Source organism: Homo sapiens, chromosome 5 (assembly GCF_000001405.40).
Source record: "Homo sapiens chromosome 5, GRCh38.p14 Primary Assembly".
In the NCBI taxonomy this organism is placed as follows: Eukaryota; Metazoa; Chordata; class Mammalia; order Primates; family Hominidae; genus Homo; species Homo sapiens.
In genome coordinates, this window is record NC_000005.10 from 5,420,707 (window position 1) to 5,440,134 (window position 19,428).

The 19,428-nt window shown below is 40.7% G+C and overlaps 1 protein-coding gene and 1 long non-coding RNA gene across 10 annotated transcripts in view, besides 6 other annotated features; one reads left to right on the forward strand and one right to left on the reverse strand.

Annotated features, from left to right (window-relative positions):
• LOC101929200 (uncharacterized) overlaps positions 1 to 1,423 on the reverse strand; it is a 163,580-nt gene extending 162,157 nt beyond the window's left edge. For all 6 annotated transcript variants that reach the window (XR_001742583.3, XR_007059119.1, XR_241729.6 and 3 more), the window contains exons 1-2: positions 697 to 1,423; positions 45 to 134 (exon numbers count right to left, since the gene is read on the reverse strand). This is a non-coding gene — a long non-coding RNA (uncharacterized LOC101929200). The remainder of the gene's footprint in view (positions 1 to 44; positions 135 to 696) is intronic.
• Positions 705 to 1,217: an enhancer, noted in NCBI's record as "H3K27ac hESC enhancer chr5:5421524-5422036 (GRCh37/hg19 assembly coordinates)". NCBI's record gives its function as "activates a minimal SCP1, AML or CMV promoter by ChIP-STARR-seq in primed H9 embryonic stem cells {active_cell/tissue: H9 hESC(primed)}" and the evidence as "EXISTENCE:reporter gene assay evidence [ECO:0000049][PMID:30033119]".
• Positions 1,218 to 1,728: an enhancer, noted in NCBI's record as "H3K27ac hESC enhancer chr5:5422037-5422547 (GRCh37/hg19 assembly coordinates)". NCBI's record gives its function as "activates a minimal SCP1, AML or CMV promoter by ChIP-STARR-seq in primed H9 embryonic stem cells {active_cell/tissue: H9 hESC(primed)}" and the evidence as "EXISTENCE:reporter gene assay evidence [ECO:0000049][PMID:30033119]".
• Positions 1,218 to 1,843: a biological region, named in NCBI's record as "H3K27ac hESC enhancer GRCh37_chr5:5422037-5422547".
• Positions 1,594 to 1,843: an enhancer, noted in NCBI's record as "active region_22324". NCBI's record gives its function as "activates an Ori minimal core promoter by ATAC-STARR-seq in GM12878 lymphoblastoid cells {active_cell/tissue: GM12878}" and the evidence as "EXISTENCE:reporter gene assay evidence [ECO:0000049][PMID:35858748]".
• Positions 1,874 to 2,203: a silencer, noted in NCBI's record as "silent region_15891". NCBI's record gives its function as "represses an Ori minimal core promoter by ATAC-STARR-seq in GM12878 lymphoblastoid cells {active_cell/tissue: GM12878}" and the evidence as "EXISTENCE:reporter gene assay evidence [ECO:0000049][PMID:35858748]".
• Positions 1,971 to 19,428, forward strand: part of ICE1 (interactor of little elongation complex ELL subunit 1) — a 67,544-nt gene continuing 50,086 nt past the window's right edge. For all 4 annotated transcript variants that reach the window (NM_015325.3, XM_011513999.3, XM_047417046.1 and 1 more), the window contains exons 1-4: positions 1,971 to 2,293; positions 15,712 to 15,770; positions 16,374 to 16,408; positions 19,189 to 19,207. In NM_015325.3, coding sequence (NP_056140.1) covers positions 2,210 to 2,293; positions 15,712 to 15,770; positions 16,374 to 16,408; positions 19,189 to 19,207 — 197 coding nt within the window. In that variant the 5' untranslated portion in view covers positions 1,971 to 2,209. The remainder of the gene's footprint in view (positions 2,294 to 15,711; positions 15,771 to 16,373; positions 16,409 to 19,188; positions 19,208 to 19,428) is intronic.
• Positions 2,264 to 2,403: a silencer, noted in NCBI's record as "silent region_15892". NCBI's record gives its function as "represses an Ori minimal core promoter by ATAC-STARR-seq in GM12878 lymphoblastoid cells {active_cell/tissue: GM12878}" and the evidence as "EXISTENCE:reporter gene assay evidence [ECO:0000049][PMID:35858748]".

Below are 19,428 nucleotides of genomic sequence, written 5' to 3' on the forward strand. Positions count from 1 at the left end.
ACTTTTATTAACATTTTTGAAGGGAAATATTTGTTGTTTCTTACCTTCAATTATTTGCAGCACATTTGATTCTTTCTGACTTTCATTTAACATCTACTATGCAGCACTTTGCAGCATTTAAAGGGAAGACTCATCTGTAAGACATAAAAACCACCATCATCCAACTCAAAATGTGATGTTACTAAAAATTACTCCGTGCTAAGGGGATTTTTTGCCCCTTAGGTGGCAGATCCTTGGGGTTGTGGAGGTAAACCCCGGAGCCTGGAAGAGCAGGTAGGATTTCTACACCTAGAGCTAGAAGGAAGCGTGTTCCAGGTAAGGGGAAAACACTAGCAAGGGTGCACAGACAGGGAGGCAGCAGTGAGAACTCCAAGTGCCCCTAATCATAAAAGTGCGTCATGGCTGCGGGTGGATGGTGTAGAGGGAGAGAGAGCTGGTGTCTTCTCCAGTAAGGTACTTTGGAAAAACACACATTTAAGTAACTGTACATAAAAGGGAAGTAATGGTGAAGATAAATTTGTCTGGGATCAGACGCTAGCACCGGGACGATCATGATCCCTACAGGTCTTTCTCTAATACCTGCTGCCCCTTTCCCTAATGGGTCACATGGTCTGTCTTCCACTGTATAGCTGCGTCCCGCTATGGATCTGCTCACTTCCCTTTTCTTTTTTAACTTTACCCTTGTTTTCTGCCCACCTGTCTCTGAGAAAAGCTGAGACTTCTATCACCGGCAGGTCCTCAGTTAGGTACACGCCTGTCTTGCTTGGGTGTCAACGACAGGAAACTTAGCTATCGCTGGATGTCTGCTTCCGCCACTCCACAGCAGGTGGTATCCAGAGTGTGTAAGCAAGGTCAGGGGTGCGAAATTTGGAGAAGAAAACTCAGAGAAAAATGCAGACTGCTTTTTTTGGAAGGGGTGTTTTCAGTTGCAATTTCCATACTGAGGAGCTAGAAATTGGCTGGTAAGGTCTAGACATTAACTTAACTAAACGTGCATTCCTCCTCTTGAATTTGGACTTTATAAGGAATTTGGATTGTATAACCACACGATGGAAGCTGCGAGAGGCTTCTGAACAAGGTACTGACGGCGACCAGCTGTGATGACTAAAAAGACGATTCTGGTGGTGGTGGATACGGTGGCTGGAGATAAGAAAAACCTCGGTTCAAACGAGATCTGAATTTACCCACTAACTACGACCACGAGGAGTTTATTCCTTTATCTTTCCGTTTTCTCTCTCTCCCGAGAAGTGTCAAAAACAGGATTTGGAGGTGGCAGGATAATGGCCAAAATGGGTAGACAAGGTGGCGAACGATTCAACCAGGCTCTGGGCTTGGCGCATGGTGGGCGGTGGCGCCCACACCTGGGCCTGGGAACCCGCCGCTCGGGCATCACTGGCTGCCGCGGCGACCGGCGAGGACACATGACCGAGGAGCGAAAGGTCAGAAGACAAGGGGACTGTTACAGGAGCAGGGGAGCCGCCACTGGCTGCTAAGGCCGTGCAACTGGCGCCGAAGCGCACGATCTCCGCCCGCCCCGCAGCGCGTCGGGAACTGTAGTCCCTCCCTCTCCTGCTCCCTGGCCCAGGACGGGCTCCGGGACAGCGCCTATCCCTCTAGCTGTAAATCACGCACTTTCCTGTCCTGGACGCCGGGTCCTTCCACTTCTCAGGCGTCTGGAGCTTACGTCACGGGCGGGTCACCGCCCACATAGCGGAGGCCTTTAGGTGTCTATGGAAAGCCTGTCGTACAGCAAGGTGGCAATAAAGGATCGACCCTTAACAGTGGTAGGAATGCACCTTCGATCCTTCTACTCCTATTGGCTGCTCCTCTGTGGGCGTCTCCCCCGCCGCATAGCACAGCTCCTCTCCCGGTGTTGCTCAGGCAGCGCCTTAGGCAGCCCCGCGCCCAGGGGAGGGGCGGGGCGAGCCAGGGCGGGGCGGGGCGAGCCAGGGCGGGGCGGGGCCCTGACTGGACTGCGTCGCGCTCGGGGGCCGCGCCGGGTAGCGTTTCTTTTTAGTGCCTGAGGCAGCTCTGGCTCGGAGAGCCTTTTGCTAGCCCCACGGGGACCTCTGTGCACGGATGGACCCGCCCGGACCTGGCGGGAAGCGGCCTGGCAGGCGGCGGCCCCGGCGGCATCAGCAGAGACAGGACGGGGCCGACGCCGCGGGCCCCTGAGGCGTGCGTGCCCACCGGGCCCGGCGGCGGCACCATGATGCCGGGCGAGACCCATTCGGCGGCGCCCGGGACGGCGGCGGACCTGTCGCGATGTCAGGGCTGCGCCTCTCTGCAGCAGGTGCAGCACCTCCCGGGGCCCCGGGCGCGGGGGGGGACTCGGCTCGGCCGGCCGGGAGCGCAGGGATGTGGGGTCCGGCCGCGCGGGCTGTGCCTCAGTGCGCTGCTCTCCCTTCCCAACCGTAGCTCTTGCTCGCTCGTCTCTCTGCTCTCTTTTTCCTACATGAGTTTTGGGGACGGCTTTCTTTGCTTTATTTAAGCTTGAAACCCAGAGTTCATTGACTGGAATGCGCTGGTGTAACGGTGGGGGTGGAGTAAGCGAGGTTTGGAGGGCCCCCCACCTTCCCTACCCGGCCTCGGAGCTCCCTAGGGCAGACTCCGTAGGTCAGTGAGGGACAGGTGAAACGCCGAGGGCAGTTATCTCCCTGAGGATAACGCTTTGGTCTTCTGGCCCATCCTGAGTATTTGTTGTTTGGAGGCAGAATCTTACGTGACATGTGGGTTGTCTGAGTCTTAGACTCGAAGAGTCTAGGGAGGCGTTTCAGCTTATAGCAGATGTGCCATCCCGAGGCTAATTTTTTAAAAAGCAAGCCAAGTAATTGGTCAAGTAGCTTGTCAGTTGTTTGATAAAAGTAGTTTATGAAAGGCATGCAGAGACTGGAGGTTTCTAACAGCGGCGTGGGCTCTTCTTTAGAGTGACATAAGGGAGAATTGCTAGAGTATGGCTCCAGATCTTATGGGGTGGTACTTGGGCAATAGTGCCCCTCATTTCCCACGACTCTCCTAGCTGCCTGATGTCGGGGGTCTCTTTTAACTTCCTACTATCGCGGTTTCAGTGATAAAACGGAACTCACCAGCACCTCATTACCTACTCTGCCTAGTGTTCTAGGAACTACAGACATTGTGGTGAACAAAATAGGATCTCTCATAAGTAAGATGCATATGTGTGAATAAGGCCTCAGAAGATTTTAGGTGTTAGAAAATAAAGGAGGATGTTGGAATATTGGTCTTGTCTCTTAGCTAGAGTAGTCAGGTAGGGAATTTTTGAGTCAGTAACTTTCAGATATTTGAATAATGGGAAGGATCGGGCTGTCAGAAGAGATGTGGGAAGAGCTTCCTGGATAGAGGGATTAACAGGTGGAAAGGTTCCTTTGGTGAGAAGGAGCAGGGTGTCTTTGATGAGCAGAACATGGTATGGTTGGCATGAGCATAGTGCACACGGAAGATGGTTGATGAGACCAGACGGGAGTGCAGGCTAGGTAGGCCATGCCGAGAAACTTGGTTTGCATTTTAAGTGCAATATCTGTGAACTGATTGCAAACATTTTAAGTGTTGAAGGAAGGGGAGGAAGGAAATGTGCTGCTTTTGTGAGTAGAAGGAGAACTAACAGATCATTGCCTTCACTGAGCTGCATTGTGTAGGTATCTTATAACGCCCCCCCGCCCCCGCCACCACCACCCCAGGAACGTGATTGGAGTTCTCCCGAATCTTTAATACATTGTATTTATTATTCGAGCCAATTCACTCAACAAACATTTATTGATCACCTGCCGTATTTTAGACACTGCAATTATGGCATTAGGGGAGAAAAAGACAAAAATTCTTGATCTCTTGGAGCTTCCGTTCTAGGAGGGTGGCAGGATAAATGAAACAAATGAGTTATGTTAGAGGGTAATGAAAACGTTGTTGATGAATTGAACAGAGATGGGGAGGGAATGAATGGGTGAGGACTAGGCCAGTGGCTGTTGGAATTTAAGTAGGGAGTCCTGGAACGTTTATATTGGAGCAAAGGTGAGAGAATAATAAGCTCTGTAGAAATCTTGGAAGAAAAGTCTCCCATACAGTGGAAACATCAGATGTGAAGAACTGTAGCAGGAGCTGGCTTGGTGTGCTTGGGAAGAGCAAGAAGGCCAGTGAAGCTGGAGCGGAGTGAATGCTGGGAGTCAGGAAGGTAGGAGGAGGGCCTGATTGTGTGGGCTCCTGTAGACCATTGTTGGGGTTTGGGCGATGGAAATGGTGAGTCATTGGAGGCTTTTGTGCAGAAGAACTACTGATGTGAACTGTGCTTTTCAGTCATGGATCTGTTATGGTTAAATTTAGCAACTGTATTCTTCTGGTTGCTTAGGCCAGAAACTAGATGGCATCCTTGGTGCAGCTCTTTTTTTCTCATAACCTGTATCCAGTTTATCAGATTGTGTCCGCTCTGCCTTCATTATTCACCCACTTTTCAACATCTCCACTGCTTCCACCGTGGTGTGAACTACTCTAATGTATGGCCTAGAAATTGAATCTCCTTCCTTCTACCCTTGCCACATTTCCTGCTGTGGGTTCTCAAAACATCAATAAGAGTAATCCTAGATCCAGAGGTCTGCAAACTTTTTCTGTAAGGAGCAAGATCACAAGTATTTAGGCTTTGGGGACTTGCTCAGAACTGCTCAGCTCTGCCATTTTCATGTGAAAGCAGCTGTAGACAATTCACAAAGAAATGAGTATGCCTGTGTTCCATTGAAACATTATAAACACTGGAGTAGGGCCTTAGTTTACAGAGTTCTTCTCTAGGTCAGGACACTATTGCATTTGGATTTTCTGTGGCCTGGAATTGGATTACCTTTTTAGGGGAAAGTTACGAGTAGAGTCTCTGGAGGAATTCTGTAGTTGTGCAAAGTGAGTCTAGAAAAATAGGTTCCTGGCAGTTTATAGAGAACCTTGAATGGTAACCATCATAAATTCTTGTACTTATTTCTGTCAGTGTTATGGGATGGTGAAGGTTTTTGCATAGTTACGTTAGGACAGTGCTTGTAGTAGAAGTAACGGTGGTATGCAGGATGGATTGAAGGGGGGTGCAACTAGGTATGGTAAATTATTTTACTAATACATAATAGTGATAACAAAAGTCTGAAGTAATTGAAGGTTCCTGGGAAGGGGAATAAAGAAGAAAAAGGTTCTGAATATGAGACAGTGTAAAGAATGGGCAGGTCTCATGTCAGGAAATGGAAGGTCCCGAGGTTTAAAACTCAAATGACCATGAGAACTGTGGTAGATACAGGAGGAAGAGGAAATCAAGGTGGAAGGGACTGAAGTTGGAATGACATCAGAACTAGGAGTGTTCAGCCATTTTCAGATTTAATGTTTGTGGAACACAGTGCTTCCAAGGTGCCCTAATATCCCTCAAGGAAATAGCAGGCCAGGTTAGATGTGCACTGTGTTCAGTGTAAGAATTTTATCTGGGCTGGGAGCGGTGGCTCATGCCTGTAATCCCAACACTTTGGGAGGCCAAGGCAGTGGATCACGAGGTCAGGAGTTCAAGAACAGCTTGGCCAAGATGGTGAAACCCCGTCTCTACGAAAAATACAAAAATTAGCCGGGCATGGTGGCATGCGCCTGTAATCCCAGCTACTCAGGAGGCTGAGGCAGGAGAATTGCTTGAACCTGGGAGGCCGAGGTTGCAGTGAGCCGAGATGGTGCCACCACTGCACTCCAGCCTGGGTGACAGAGCAAGACTCCGTCTCAAAAAAAAAAAAAAAAAGCTTATTTGACAGAAGGGAGGTGTGAGGATAGGAAAATGGGGCATTATGTTCTGTCACTTAAAGGAATCTTTGAAACCATGAGGCCAATTCATGGGATTACATGCTATCATTAGAGTCAGTGACGGAAAACCAACTAGCTGATGTGTGGCCTTTGATGAAGGGGAACATGGAATGGTGAGGAAAGGAGAAACAGATAAAGTATGTTAGAGGGTTAAACAGGGAGTGCGTTCCAGAGGGAATCAAGAGTTCCAGAGGGAACCAAGATCGGAAAGAATGAGAATTAAGGAAAAGCAATTCTTTTGGTCAATTAGTAGATAACCGCTTTTTGGAAATAATTTTCGCATGTATTATAACTACGTGAAGTTCCATATTTCAATTAAACTTTCGTGTGAGAGAGAAACTAAAGAGGTACAGAGAGAAGATATTCTGTGCTATAGTTTTAACTTTTTGATCATGCAGAGAATTTACAAGTGTAACATAGGAGTCAGTCTTTCCAATGGTAGGCAACCATATTGGTGTTGTGACTTCATTCTGAACTGTAATGTTAGGCTAACTTGCCTCTCTGTCTTGAATAGTGGTTTGCTTGCACTGAAAATCTTCCTTTCATTTCTTAATCCTCCCTGTCCTTTTTTTCTTTAGTTGTTGAAGAGATAACAGTACCTTTGCAGAGATCATTATTTGATTCAGAAGTGTGCAGATTGACTACATTTTCTGTGTCTTTTGCTCGTAGTCTCACAAATCACTTCATATCTGTTTTGTTACGCTCATTGATTACAGTAGTTCATTGCTGATCCATAGCCCAATGCCCAAAGTTCTGGGTTGCAGAACTTTGGCAGTCAGATATAACAGTGTGGGTCCTCACTCTAGTCATATTATGTATTATGTATGGTTAAGTAAAGTCTTAAGTTGTGTGTGTTTAAGTCAAGCTAGTGAAGCTGACATAGTCTCTTTATTCTGATGAAGGAGAGGCCCATATTTGCTGACTTCACTGCAGTGCAAAACAGTTGGATTCTCCTGGGGATCCAGATGAGAGTTTGAAACACATGATTATATTGTTCATCTCATGTATCTAGATTAGATTCAGTGAGTTTGATGTATGGTTGTCCTTGGAACAGATTTGAGCCTGTCCATAAACTTGTGCTGGACTCCCATTGATAATCGCTAGTGATTTAAGTGTCATCGTTTGGAACTTGAAACATTTTATTCCAGACCTATTGATTTAGAAATGGTTCTTTTACAAGGAATGCTTACAAAATTGTAATTCATTCATTTGCCAAACACATTTATTGAGCTTCGATGTATATATGATGCTATCCTGTGTTTCAGAATACAATGATGAACAGAAGAGGCATGGAGCTCATTCTTGTTGAGGTTACAGTTAAGTAGAAAAGCAACCACAGTATAGGTATAATATAAATATTATGGTAAGGGACATATGAGGTACTCTGGGAGCATGTAGGAGGGACAGTTATATAGGAATTGTGCCACCTCTCTGAAGGCTTCATAAAAGTGAATCTAAATTGAGGTCTGAAAGATGATTTGCAGTTAACTAAGAGGGAAAAGATGGAGGGAGAGTGTTGTAGACAGAACAAGTTGTGCCAAGGCCTGGAGGGGAGAAAGTAGTTGACGATAGATGAAGCACAGAGTAAAGGTGGGGATAACTGAGGTGGGGCTGGAGAGACTGGGGTTTGCCTTCCCAGCACCCAGAAGCCACTCTGCTTGGTTTTGGTGGGTGGGTGTGGTTGGGGCACAGTTAGAGAGAGGTGGACATTCCTGCCTTGTTGCCCTGTTCCAGTCCACGCTGTGCCAGAGGTTTTAACAGGTGAGAAGACACACTCATCTCTGCTAGATATCAGTGTAGGCTTTGATTTTAAATAAGAGCAGTTAGTAAACAGCAAGCACACCAGGAATAAGTGGTTTATCAGAGAGGAGTCATGCTGAACAATTAGCCAGATCTCTCCCAGCAAAGCAATAAATGTGAGTAGTGTGATTTTTAAAAATAATTTATTTTGAAATAATTTCAGACTTACAATAAAGTTGCCACAATAATACAAATAACCCTGATGTTCTCAAATTCACAAATTGTTAACATGTTATTGCATTTGCTTCATCATTGTCTGCACACATACACTTTGTCTCCTGTACATGTTCCAGGGTATACTTCCTCCAGATATGAACGTTTTCCAACATAATTACCCTACACCCCTCCAAATCAGGATAGTAACATTGGTGCAGCTGTAGACCTATTCAGATTTTGCTTGCTGGCCTGGGAGTGGCTTTTTGCTTTCTTACTCAAAGTCATGTCAGGAATATGTGTTATATTTTATTGTAATGTCTCTTCAGCCTCCTTCATTTAGTCTTTGTCTTTCATGTTTGTGAAAGTTTAAACAGCAGAGCCTTGCATTCCTCAGCGAACGTTTTACTACTTCTGAAGACATTTTTGATTGTCAGTGTTGGAGTCCCTAAGACCATGCTCATGTTCAGTACTCATAGGACTTAGCATATAGTTATACTCATGGCTGTGGTTTCTTACAGGGAAAGCATACAGAGTGAAGTCAGTAAAGGGAAAAGGCATATGGGGCAAAGTCTGGGGAAATCAGGCACAAGCTTCTGAGAGTGTTTCCCAGTAGAGTCACACAGCACATGCCTAATTGCTCCAGTATCGTGTTGTAACAGTACTTGTGAAGTGTTATCTGCCGGGGAATCTCATTAGGGACCTAGTGCCTGAGTTTTTTTTACTGGGGGCTGGTCTTGTAGGCACCCTCTGCCTAGCAAGCACCAAGATTCCAGACCCCCACAAGGAAAGCAGGTGTTGAGCATAAACCATACATGATGAGCCATTTTCATCAGTTTGGGGAATGATGGGAAGGAACTCTCCAGAAATCCGAGTCCTCAGGTGACAGCCAATGGCCCACCTTGCAAGCAGGTCTTGCTAAGGATCGTGTTCTCAGGCCTGCTGGGTTAATTGTTTGCTGCACACACACCTTGGAGCTTGGGGAGTGCTACAGCCAGCTGGTAGAGGCCAGGGATTCTGCCGAACATCCCGTCTTCCTTCTAGCCCAAGATGTCAGTAGTGCTGAAGTTAAGAAACTGTCTTCTCTTACATATTTACTGATTTGTTTGAGCAGACTACATATCCCATTATCATCTGTATTTATTTGTTTGCTATATTATCTATATACTTACTACCTTAGCATAACCATTTTCCTGGCTACACTGGCCATGTCTTCTGTCATGTCCTCTCAGCTGGTATGCCTGCTAGCTTGCTCCTTGCCCTGTGTGCTCAGCCAGGTGTGATTCTACTTCCCCAAGAAAGGAAGGAAGCATGGGCATCAGCATTCACAGTGACAATTCAGGAGGGTATTGTATGGATAAAGTTAAAATTGTCTGGTAGAGGGGAGAAGTAAATGGGAAACAAAAAGTCTTGAGTAAGAGAGTGGGCTGCTCTGGGAATTGTGTTAGTGAATTAGTATAGCTTAAGAAATCACCCAGAAGGCAAAGAAAAGATGGTAGTTATGAGAGAAAAGAGGAGAGAATTGAAAATAAGCCTGAACTTTCCAATAGACTATATAATAGAAGCTCTAGAAGAGGAGAGCAGGGCTGCTAAGAGAAAGCGATAATCGAGGAAACAACCCTTAGTATCTCCTGGAGAGGAAGAACACCTTGAACCTCACTTCTTCCATAGCAGCTGGACCTGTGCAGGAATGAATGTGGGTCAGAGGAGCCTGATCGCCCTTCACCCAGGCACACCCTGCTCACTTTCACAATTGCGAGGTTCATTATTTAGAGGCCTTGGTTTCAGCCAACATAAATGACATCTGAATCTGATTGGAGGAAAAAAAAATGTTTTATCAGAGTATTACAATATCTGACCACAGATAATACAGTATCTGACCAGATTTGAGCTGATATGCAGCAGGGCCTTGGGAAATAATGTTAGTCAGAGACTAGAATGCTATCGGATAACTGAGAAATCTTTTGTTTTCTCATTATACTGTTTTGTGATCTTGTTTTTTGTTTAATCACAGTTAAATATAAAAAGGCAGCTAGACAGATATACAAGAGTTGTTAAGACAACAAGTCAGCAGCCCCCAGCCCCACTCATCCCTGCTTTCCAAGACAGAACCATTTTTAATTGCTTCCACTGTGTATTTTACAATGAATTTTCCTGTTGTTAAATAGTAGACTCATTGCTGACTTTGGGAGGTGAGGATTCAGCTCTCTTACTGCCCCATACTCCACCATGCCTAAGCATATCTCTTCTTTCTCCATTTGTTCAGTATAGTTATGATTTCAGTTAGATCAGTATTTGAAGTTGACATTATTAGGACTGTTATTTGAAGCTAAGCTGTGGTGTTTTCTGCATGGTTTCTTGTTTTCCCTGATAATGATTGTATCTTTAATTCAATTTTTCATCCTGAAGATATTAGTGAGTGCTTACTGCTATGCCAGGGACTGGATTGAACACTTTATATGGTGCATCTTATTTAATCCTGATAGTATGCCAGTTATTTAAACTCTTTTTGCTTCAGTTTCTCCATCTGTAAAACTGATGAAATAGTTTCGAGGCAGGGGAGAGGTTAAATAAATTTGCCCAAGGTCACTTAGCAGAAAGTGGGGGTGGAATAGGAATGTGAATCTGACTCTGTGACTCTGGAGCCTGAGGTTTCTTCGGGGTCTCTGCCTAAGTACTTGGCAACTCAAAATGACATCTAGAAGCATGGGAAAGATGAGCTAGGGTACCAAAGAACTCAAAAGAGAATGGGAGAAAAAAGAGGAAGAATCACTTTTATTTTAGAAAAAATAATAGTTTAAATGCATGTCCAAAAATAACTGCATTCCCTTGCAAGTCTCTGCCAGTTTGGTATAAATACTCGAATGTTTTCAGTCTTTCATTTTCTTCTCCCTTCGAGCTTTGGGGCCTACTGTCATCTGGTACGCAGCAGCATTCTGAGGGCTCTCTTCACCCCCATCTCCATTCCGAAGGACCATGTTCACATCTTTCAGTACCCCCTGAGAAAGAATGTCTGGGAAGTAAGTTTGTAGAGACTTTGCAGATTTGAAAATATTTATTGTGTAGAATTTTATCTTGGAATTACTTGCCCTTTGCCATTTCGAAGGCTTGCTTTCTAGGTCTAGTTTTTCGTGTTGGTGTTGAAGTCTGAAGCCATTCTATCCCCGATTCTTTGTGTATCACTTGATGCCTTTTATTTTGCTCTTGGGATTCTGGTAGGGTCTTTGCTTTGTCTCCAGTGGTCTGAAATTTTGTGTTCTTGTTTCATGGTTTGAATCCTATTGAAGTCCATATTCCAGGCCCTTTCAATTAGAAATTTCTAGATTTGCTTCTGGGAACTTTTCTTGAATACCAGTATTTTTTTTTTAATTAGGTCTCCATCTTCGCCTTATTCTTTATGTGGAACTCTTATTGTTGGGTATGTGGGGCCTCTTGTGTTGATACCCTATTTGTTTTTATTTATTTTCCTTCTTTCTCGTGTCTGGGTTTTTATTTTCTGCATCCTTTTTTTTTAACTTTATGGTCAAATATTTTGAGTCTTTGTTAGCTATAACAGCATTATTGAAATATAATTTACATATAAAATTCTGCCTTTTATTGTATACAATTCAGTTCAATTCACAGAGTTGTGCAGACATCACCACTACATAGTCCTAAAACATTTTCATCCTCCACCTTCCCCAAAGAAACCCTATACTAGTTACTAGTCATTTCCTGTCTCTGTACTCTTCCTCCAGTCTCTGGCAGCCACTGGATTACTTTTGGCTCTGTTAAGGAAAATTCATATGAATGGACTCTAGAATACACGTGGACTTTTGTAACTGGCTTTTTTCACTTAGCATAATGTTTCAAGGTTGGTCCATGTTGTAGCATGTATCATTCGTTCATTTTCATTGTCAAATAATTCCTGTTGTATGGATATGTGACATTTTGTGAATCAGTTCATCCTTTGATGGACATTTAATTTATGTTCACTTTTTGGCTAGTTTGAAATAGTGCTGCTATAAATATCAGTGTGTAAGTTTGCCGTGGACTCTATTTTCAGTTCATACCTAGGAATGGGACTGTTGGATCGTTGGGTAACTATTTAACATTTTGAGGAACTGCAAAACTAGTTTGCTCAGCAGCTGCCCCATTTTATATTCCCACCAGCAATGTATGAGGAATGTATTCAGTTTCTCCACATCATCATCAACACTTGCTATTGTCTGTCTTTTAATTTTAGTTATTCTAGAGTGTTCATTTTTAATTTTTAAGTTTTTTCAATTTTAAGAGCTCTGAATATTCCTTTCAAAAATAACTTGTTTCGCAAATATAATATTATTTATCTCATCCTATTAATAAACATTTTTTAAGTTTTCTTTTCAGTTTTTGTTTACTTCAGGTTGCTTTTGCTTGTTTTAGCCTCTTTCACACTGCAGGTCTGTCTCATGTTTGGAAGTCCTTGCAAAGAGCGAGTAGCAGATACACTGAGGATGTGGGGCTTCTGGACCCTGAGTGTCAAGGCAGGACAGTCTGGTTGGGCCATTTATTGATTGAAGAATGTCTAGTGTCATTACCTTTAGATATTATCTGTAAGAAGGTATTTCCCTTCTTCTTCCTGGAAGACAGAAGGACTACACTGTTTGGAAGCCTAATGAAGAGAGACAGGCAGCCAGTCTTAGACCACTGTGCTTAGGTTTATTTAATCTTTATGCTTTTGACATAGTACACCTGCCCCAAGGGTCCCTGGTGTTACAGAGACCTTCAAAAAGCAAACCTCTTTCTGCTGGATGGGGGAGGAGTGATTTCTCTGAGGCATGGTGGATGGTTGGGGATTGGGATTAAATGCTTATGAGAAAGTTTGCAACTAGTGCTTGTTTTAGTTCCATTCCCCTTCACCTTCTCAAAAGAATCCATGTTACTGATTCTCAAGCTTGTTGAAGTTTTGCAGTATAAATGGAGCTGGTTCTCACTTTTCCCCACTGCTGGCTTTCTTGGGTGCTAAATCAGTACTCTTGAGTCTGCTTTCCAGTTTCCGTTTGTCTTTTATCCTCTTGTCATCCTTGTTGGTTTTGCCTTTTGAAAAAAAAGTTTTTGACTGTATTTTTAGCTGGTTTTAGGGAGGGAAATAAAAGCAAATGCATGCATCCACCCTCTCTGCCCAGAAATCTGGATTAGGGCCCACTCTAGTCCAGTATGACCTCATCTTAACCTGATCATATCTGTAAAGACCCTATTTCTAAATAAGGTCATTCTAAAATACTGGGAGTTAGGACTTAAGCATGTCTTTTGTGGGACAGGTCATGATTTAACGCTTAACAGATGGTGACCCAACAATTCTGTACCTAGCAAAGTCTTATTCATGCATGAGAGGTGTTCCTAGTTTACTCCCTCCTTACAGTTTTTAGCAAGGGAAAGGCATCCTAGTAATTTTAGTGCAAAAATGGTATAGGCATATCACTTATGAACATAGATGAAAAAAAAAAACCTAAGTAGGATATTGGGGAATTGAATCCTCAGTGTGTTTAAATAATGTTAACATAGTGTTCAATTACTTTTATCCCCAGGAATGTAAGGCTGCTTTATCATTAGAAAATCTATTGTAGTTCACTGAAATTAATAAATAAAGGGAGAAAAATACATATTCAAACTAAATACAGAAATTTATTTGATGAAGATTGATACCTATACATGAAAATCTTTTAGCAGACTGTGTGTAGAAGTTTCATAACATGATTAAAGGATATCAACCAATAACCTGGAACAGAGCAAATTTAATTAACTAATTCCAACTTTTAAGACAAAGACACCTGTTATTACCCTTACTATTCAATATTGTGCTGAAGCCTTAGTCAGTTCAGGAAGGAGGGCAAATGAAATGTAGGCATGAGTAAAGGTAGGATAAAATTATCAGTGAATGTTACAACTATTCACATAACACACCCAAGAGAATCTGCAGATAAATTATTCACTGCTGGATTTACTTTGCATATATTTTATTTAGATCTTTTGTGTGTATGTTTATAAGTGACATTGTTGTAAAATGAGCTGGTCTTACTGTAATCAACAAACAAAAATTAGTAATATTTTTGCATACCCTTAAGAACCAATTAGGAAATGTAATATAGCAAAAACAGCAACATAAAGATAGTACTCATGCTAGTGGTAAAAACAAATTAAGCTAGGGTGTAAAAGCTAACCAGGATGTAGAAAACATCCTTCAGGAATGCGTAGAGGAAAAATAGAAAAAATTATCACTGTGTGTGTTTTGATTTCATTATATGCTGCCAAAATGCTCTTCAAATACTACCACCCATAGTATGAATTGTATTTTCCTTACATCCTTACCAATATGTTTATTTTAGTCTAGCCTAGTGGATGAAAAGTAAATTTTTGTTATTTTAGTTTTGCATTTCCTGATATGAAAAAGGTGGAATACGTTTTTTAAAAAATGTCTATTGACTATTCCAAATTCTTAATCTGTGAATTGACAGTTTATATCCTTTACCTTTTTCAGTGTAAACCTCTGAAATGCATAAGTCTGGTCCAGCAGTACCAGTATTTGGGCTTTATTCTCAGGAAAAATAGAACTGTTTGACAAAGGAATGGGCAAGGAAATTCATGGCATGCTGTCTGTAAAGACTGGAAAAGGACCTAAACCTCCCTCAACAACAATTTGATAGATGGAGTACATCCAAAAATATATTTTATATATGTGGTGGCAGTTCTGAAAGTTGAAAGTTAAAAACACGCTGAGTGATTTTTGACAGATGGTGAGATTACAAGAGAAACTATGCATTTGACTTTATTTTAATGTGTAGATGTTTTAACAGATATGTAACATAACTGAGAAGAAAAGGCAGACATTATCATAAAGGGAAATATTACTGTAACTATCAAAATCATTTGGATTATCTGGAAAACTATTGGGATAATCAGTGAAAATTGAACATAGTTTGGATAATTTCAAATTATTACTTGGTGTAATTATTACTTGTGAAGGGCTATTGTGGTTATGTTTAAAAGTAAGTCCTTATTTCTGAAGTATTTAGTGATGGAAAAAGGAGACATTAAAGGAAAGAAGTTAATGAAAAGAAAAAATTAGCTCATTTTAAAATCTTAGGAACATTTCAACAGTGTAACTAAGGATGTTTTTCCTTTTGGGTTGATAGCGGTAATTTAGAGCCAAATTTGTGTTTTTTTTTTTTTTTGTTTTGTTTTTGTTTTTTTTTTCGAGATGGAATCTCACTGTCACTGGAGTGCAATGGCACGATCTCGGCTCACTGCAACCTCCGCCTCTCAGGTTCAAGTGATTCTCCTGCCTCAGCCTCCTGAGTAGCTAGGATTACAGGTGCCCACCAACACACCTGGCTAAATTTTGTATTTTTAGTAGAGACAGGGTTTCACCATGTTGGTCAGGCTGGTCTTGAACTCCTGACCTCAGGTAATCCGCCTCAGCCTCCCAAAGTGCTGGGATTATAGGCATGAGTCACCGCACCCGGCCTAGATCCTTATATATTTTTTCACTTAATCTTAGTCCATTTTAATATTTCTATTCATCTCCCCCATGGTTTCTTTTTTGTTGTTATTTTTTATGATTTATGTGTCTTTTGGGGTAGCCTTAAATCCTCTCAGAAACAATGCAGGGTAAAGATTGATGATTAATAGCAAACTAAAAATAGTTAATATTTATTGAGCTCTGTGGCTAATTGCACACAGTAAAAGCATATTTACAACTAACTACCTTGCTGTTAAAGGAGTACTATCATTCAGATAAACAGGTTTGGAGAGAGGCACCATAGGCTCAGATTGTGCTCTACACAATATAAGTAATGCATTAACATTTCTATGTTTATATAATTATTAAAATTCTTAGATATGATAAATAATGTTACAGACAATAATTATATTTAAAGTAATTGATAAAAAAGCTGACTGTGGCTTTTTTTCTTTCAGAATTTGAATGAATATGTTGAAGCATTAATTACCTTGAAACAAAAAATTATCAATACAGAGTAAGTATATTTGCATGTCGTTTGGCAGAACTTTGTAAACCTGACAAACTGGCTGAAGCAGGCGGTGCTTTTAGGCCCCCAGGGCTGGAATGAACACTAGAGTTTCTCCTTTGGAGGCCTGCATGGTACTGATTATAATTCCCCGTGAGCTTTGGGACTTGAACCTTTTGTTACAGGTTCACAGGCCTTTAAAACAAAGCTCGTGGGTTAGTAGGAAGTTGTTTTTACCAAACTGGACTTCTTAAAAAATCTGTTTTCTGTCTTCAAAGCCTTCTTAGCTTTACTGCTGGACCTCAAACCTCCTAACAGTATTTTATAGCCATGGTGTGAGATTTCCTATTTTTTTTGTTTTCAGCTTTGTAATAGTCTCATGAATGTATGAGCCAAGATACTACTCAGATCTAAAGGTTTCTAAATAAAAGGCTTGTATATCAACGTGATGCTTTTGAGAAATTTAAGGTGATATAGTCATTAATTTAGCATGCATTTGTTTCAGGAAATCTAGGAAGTCTAGAGGGTGCCTTGCATGGATTGAAACATAATTTTAACATAGTATATTTTCTAAATTAAAAAGTAACCTAATTTTTCTTTTCTTTTTTGCAGTAATTTGTTAACAGAATATCAGAAGAAATGTGATGATATCCTTTTACTGGCTTTTTCTGTTGAGTTTTGGAACTAACTTATGTTTAATTCCTGAAAGAGATGTGAGAATTGTTCCTCATAGGCCTTCTGGAAGATAGTACTTAACAGGCTTCAGTAGGGAGCATGTCTCACAAGCACAGTAAACAGACAGTCCTTTTATTCTTAATCCATGTTTAATGATGAGTTTTAAAAATGAGATTACTTTTCTTGTTGATTGTGATTTTCTTAACGTCTCATAAGCTTTTTAGTGGGTGGGTTTCTCTTAATTTGTACTGAGGATGTGGCATGTTTTTTAGGTTTACGAATAATGTGAAACTGAATGTGATACTTGCTGAATGTTATTTTTGAATCTGCAAGAAGTACAGTATGGGAAATTCAAAATGTTGGGCAATTGACTTTCATTAATTATTTTTGTGATTTACAGGGAAATGTGTGTGTATATATATATCTCCAAAATCATAGAAATAGCGTTGCTGTATATTCATGAACGCTGTGGGCAGTCAGAAGACAATTCTTGGCCTTACAGTCACCACTTGTTCGGTAGCCATTTAATGAGCTCGGTTGTGGAGTTAGTGTCTGGTCAGCTATTTTTTTAGCAGTGGGAAAAAGATGTGTATAATTGATCCTTCCATGTCTTGCTGTGGTAATACCTTGATTTAAATCTCTCCTGTAAAAACTTAAAGTTTCTCTCATAAAAGTAAACATACGTATACTCCTTTAGGGAGTCCCTGAAATTTAGCTTCATGTTCGATGTCAGGACAGATTCAGCTGTTCAGCTTTGGCAATAACTTGAGGCCTGCTTCAATATGATTTATGTCATACCTGAACTTACATGTCATCATCAGTTATTTATTTGTGTTGGTACCATCTGTACTAGTTGATTCTCACGCTGCTATAAAGGACTACCCGAGACTGGGTAATGTATAAAGGAAAGAGGTTTAATTGACTCAGAGTTCTGCATGGCTGGGAGGCCCCAGGAAACTTATAATCATGGCAGAAGGGGAAGCAAACACATCCTTCACATGGTGGCAGGAGAGAGAAGTGCAGAGCGAAGCGGGGAAAAGCCCCTTATAAAACCATCAGATCTCGTGGGAACTCACTCATTATCAGGAGAACAGCACTGGGGGACTGCCCCCGTGATCTGATCACCTCCCACAAGGTTCCACCCCAGCACCTGGGAATCACAACTTGGTTTACAATTCAAGATGAGATTTTGGGTGGGGACACAGCCAGACCATATCATCATTTCTAATTTCTGTGAAAATCGTAAAATTAAGAGATATCCTTTAGATTTATTTTTACTATCTGAATTTTTACATTCAAAAATAAAGGTCATTGGAAATCTTCTTATGTGCCTCATCTGTTAAAACCATCAGTCCATTTAACTATACGTGCATATTATGGCAGAAATGATATCTTCAATTGTTAGTGAAAGGTGTATGGAAACAATTATCACAACTTTTAGAAGGCTAAATAGGGAAATAGATGGGCAGTTCCAGTATTAGGAGAGTATGTGTTCATTGTATCATTCTTGGAAAAAATATGCACACTCTTTGAGTTAACTTATACATGTAACCTAGCAGAGAAATAATTGTTTTACTTTTCTAAAGGTTGGCCAGAAAAATTTTAAAACAAAAATTATCAGAATCCTTTATTAACGGATAACACTTTTGATTATTCCTGGATTTCAGAAGTTCATTCTGTAATATGATATTTGGCTTCATTGTCAGCTACAGATAGATACATACCTTTAAAAAAATATGTTTCACATTTGCTCCAAGTATGCATTTGTTGTACCTCAAATATGCAGTTGTTTGCTCTGCAACTTGAAGTGCCGATGTCACAGATTTAACATGGCTTTTAAAAATATAATTTGATTCCTTTTGCTACTAAAGTAGCAGTGCATTTTCCCATTTTTTTCAAGATGGGAAAGTTATTTCTTCCATAACTGCACTATGATAATTCAGTATTTCAGCTCTTTTTTGTGTAATTCTGACCACTTTATTATCACCTCTTTCTAAATGGCAAGAAATGTATTTTATTTCATCAGGTATTTTTTGAACTTTCCTATTTTGCAAAGATTAATTTAGGATGAATAAAATATAGTTCTTGTTCTTCAGAAACCTTCAGAAACTTACATTCTAATGGAGGATGCACACGTTTTTATGAACGTACATGTCCTATATTGTGATAAAAATACAGGAATTCCTAGGAGATGAAACATAAAGGAATTGTTTTTTGCTATCTTAGAATATTTTACTAGCAGTATGAGATGGTAAAATAAGGTTATCAAATTACATAAATTGTAAAAAATGAGAGTTTTGTAGATTTTATGATCTGTTTTCTACAAAACATGCTTATATATGGTTTTTGTAAGTACATAACTTTTGTTTGCTGGAATTATTCTCTGCACTATTTGAAAAATGAAGGACAGGTTGTTTGGGGATTCCGCTATGTAGAGAAATCAAGGTATTTTCTATTAGTTGCATATTGCTTTGTCTTTCTTTTAATTCTGATCATACATTTATTCACAGAACTCTATTTAGAGAAACAGATATTTTGACTTGGTACATGTTATTATGGTAAATGGAAATAACTCAGTAAAAAGACTTACCACTGTGTTTTAGATTGCATTTTGAATATAGTTTTCTAGTATTTATGATCTTGCCTGTATATATGTTGAACACAAATTATTAAAGATAATTGTAAAGTGAGTTTTATCTCCAGAGAAGTATCAGAAGATAAAATTCTCAGAGTTTTCTTTAATAAGTTTTACAGCTGCAGTTTGCAAGAAGGTGAGCCAACCTGTTTCATAGTTTATGATACCACCTATATGAGTAGTTGATCTGAGATAGACATTTATTGGAGCAGATTTTTAAGCAGCTTTGAGCAAAATGTACATAGGATTACTCATAATATAGAATGCTGCTTTGATGCTCATAATAAAATAGGACTCAAGTTCTCCTACTATTAAATTTTTCAAATGAATTTGTTACTAAGGTCTTGAATTACAACT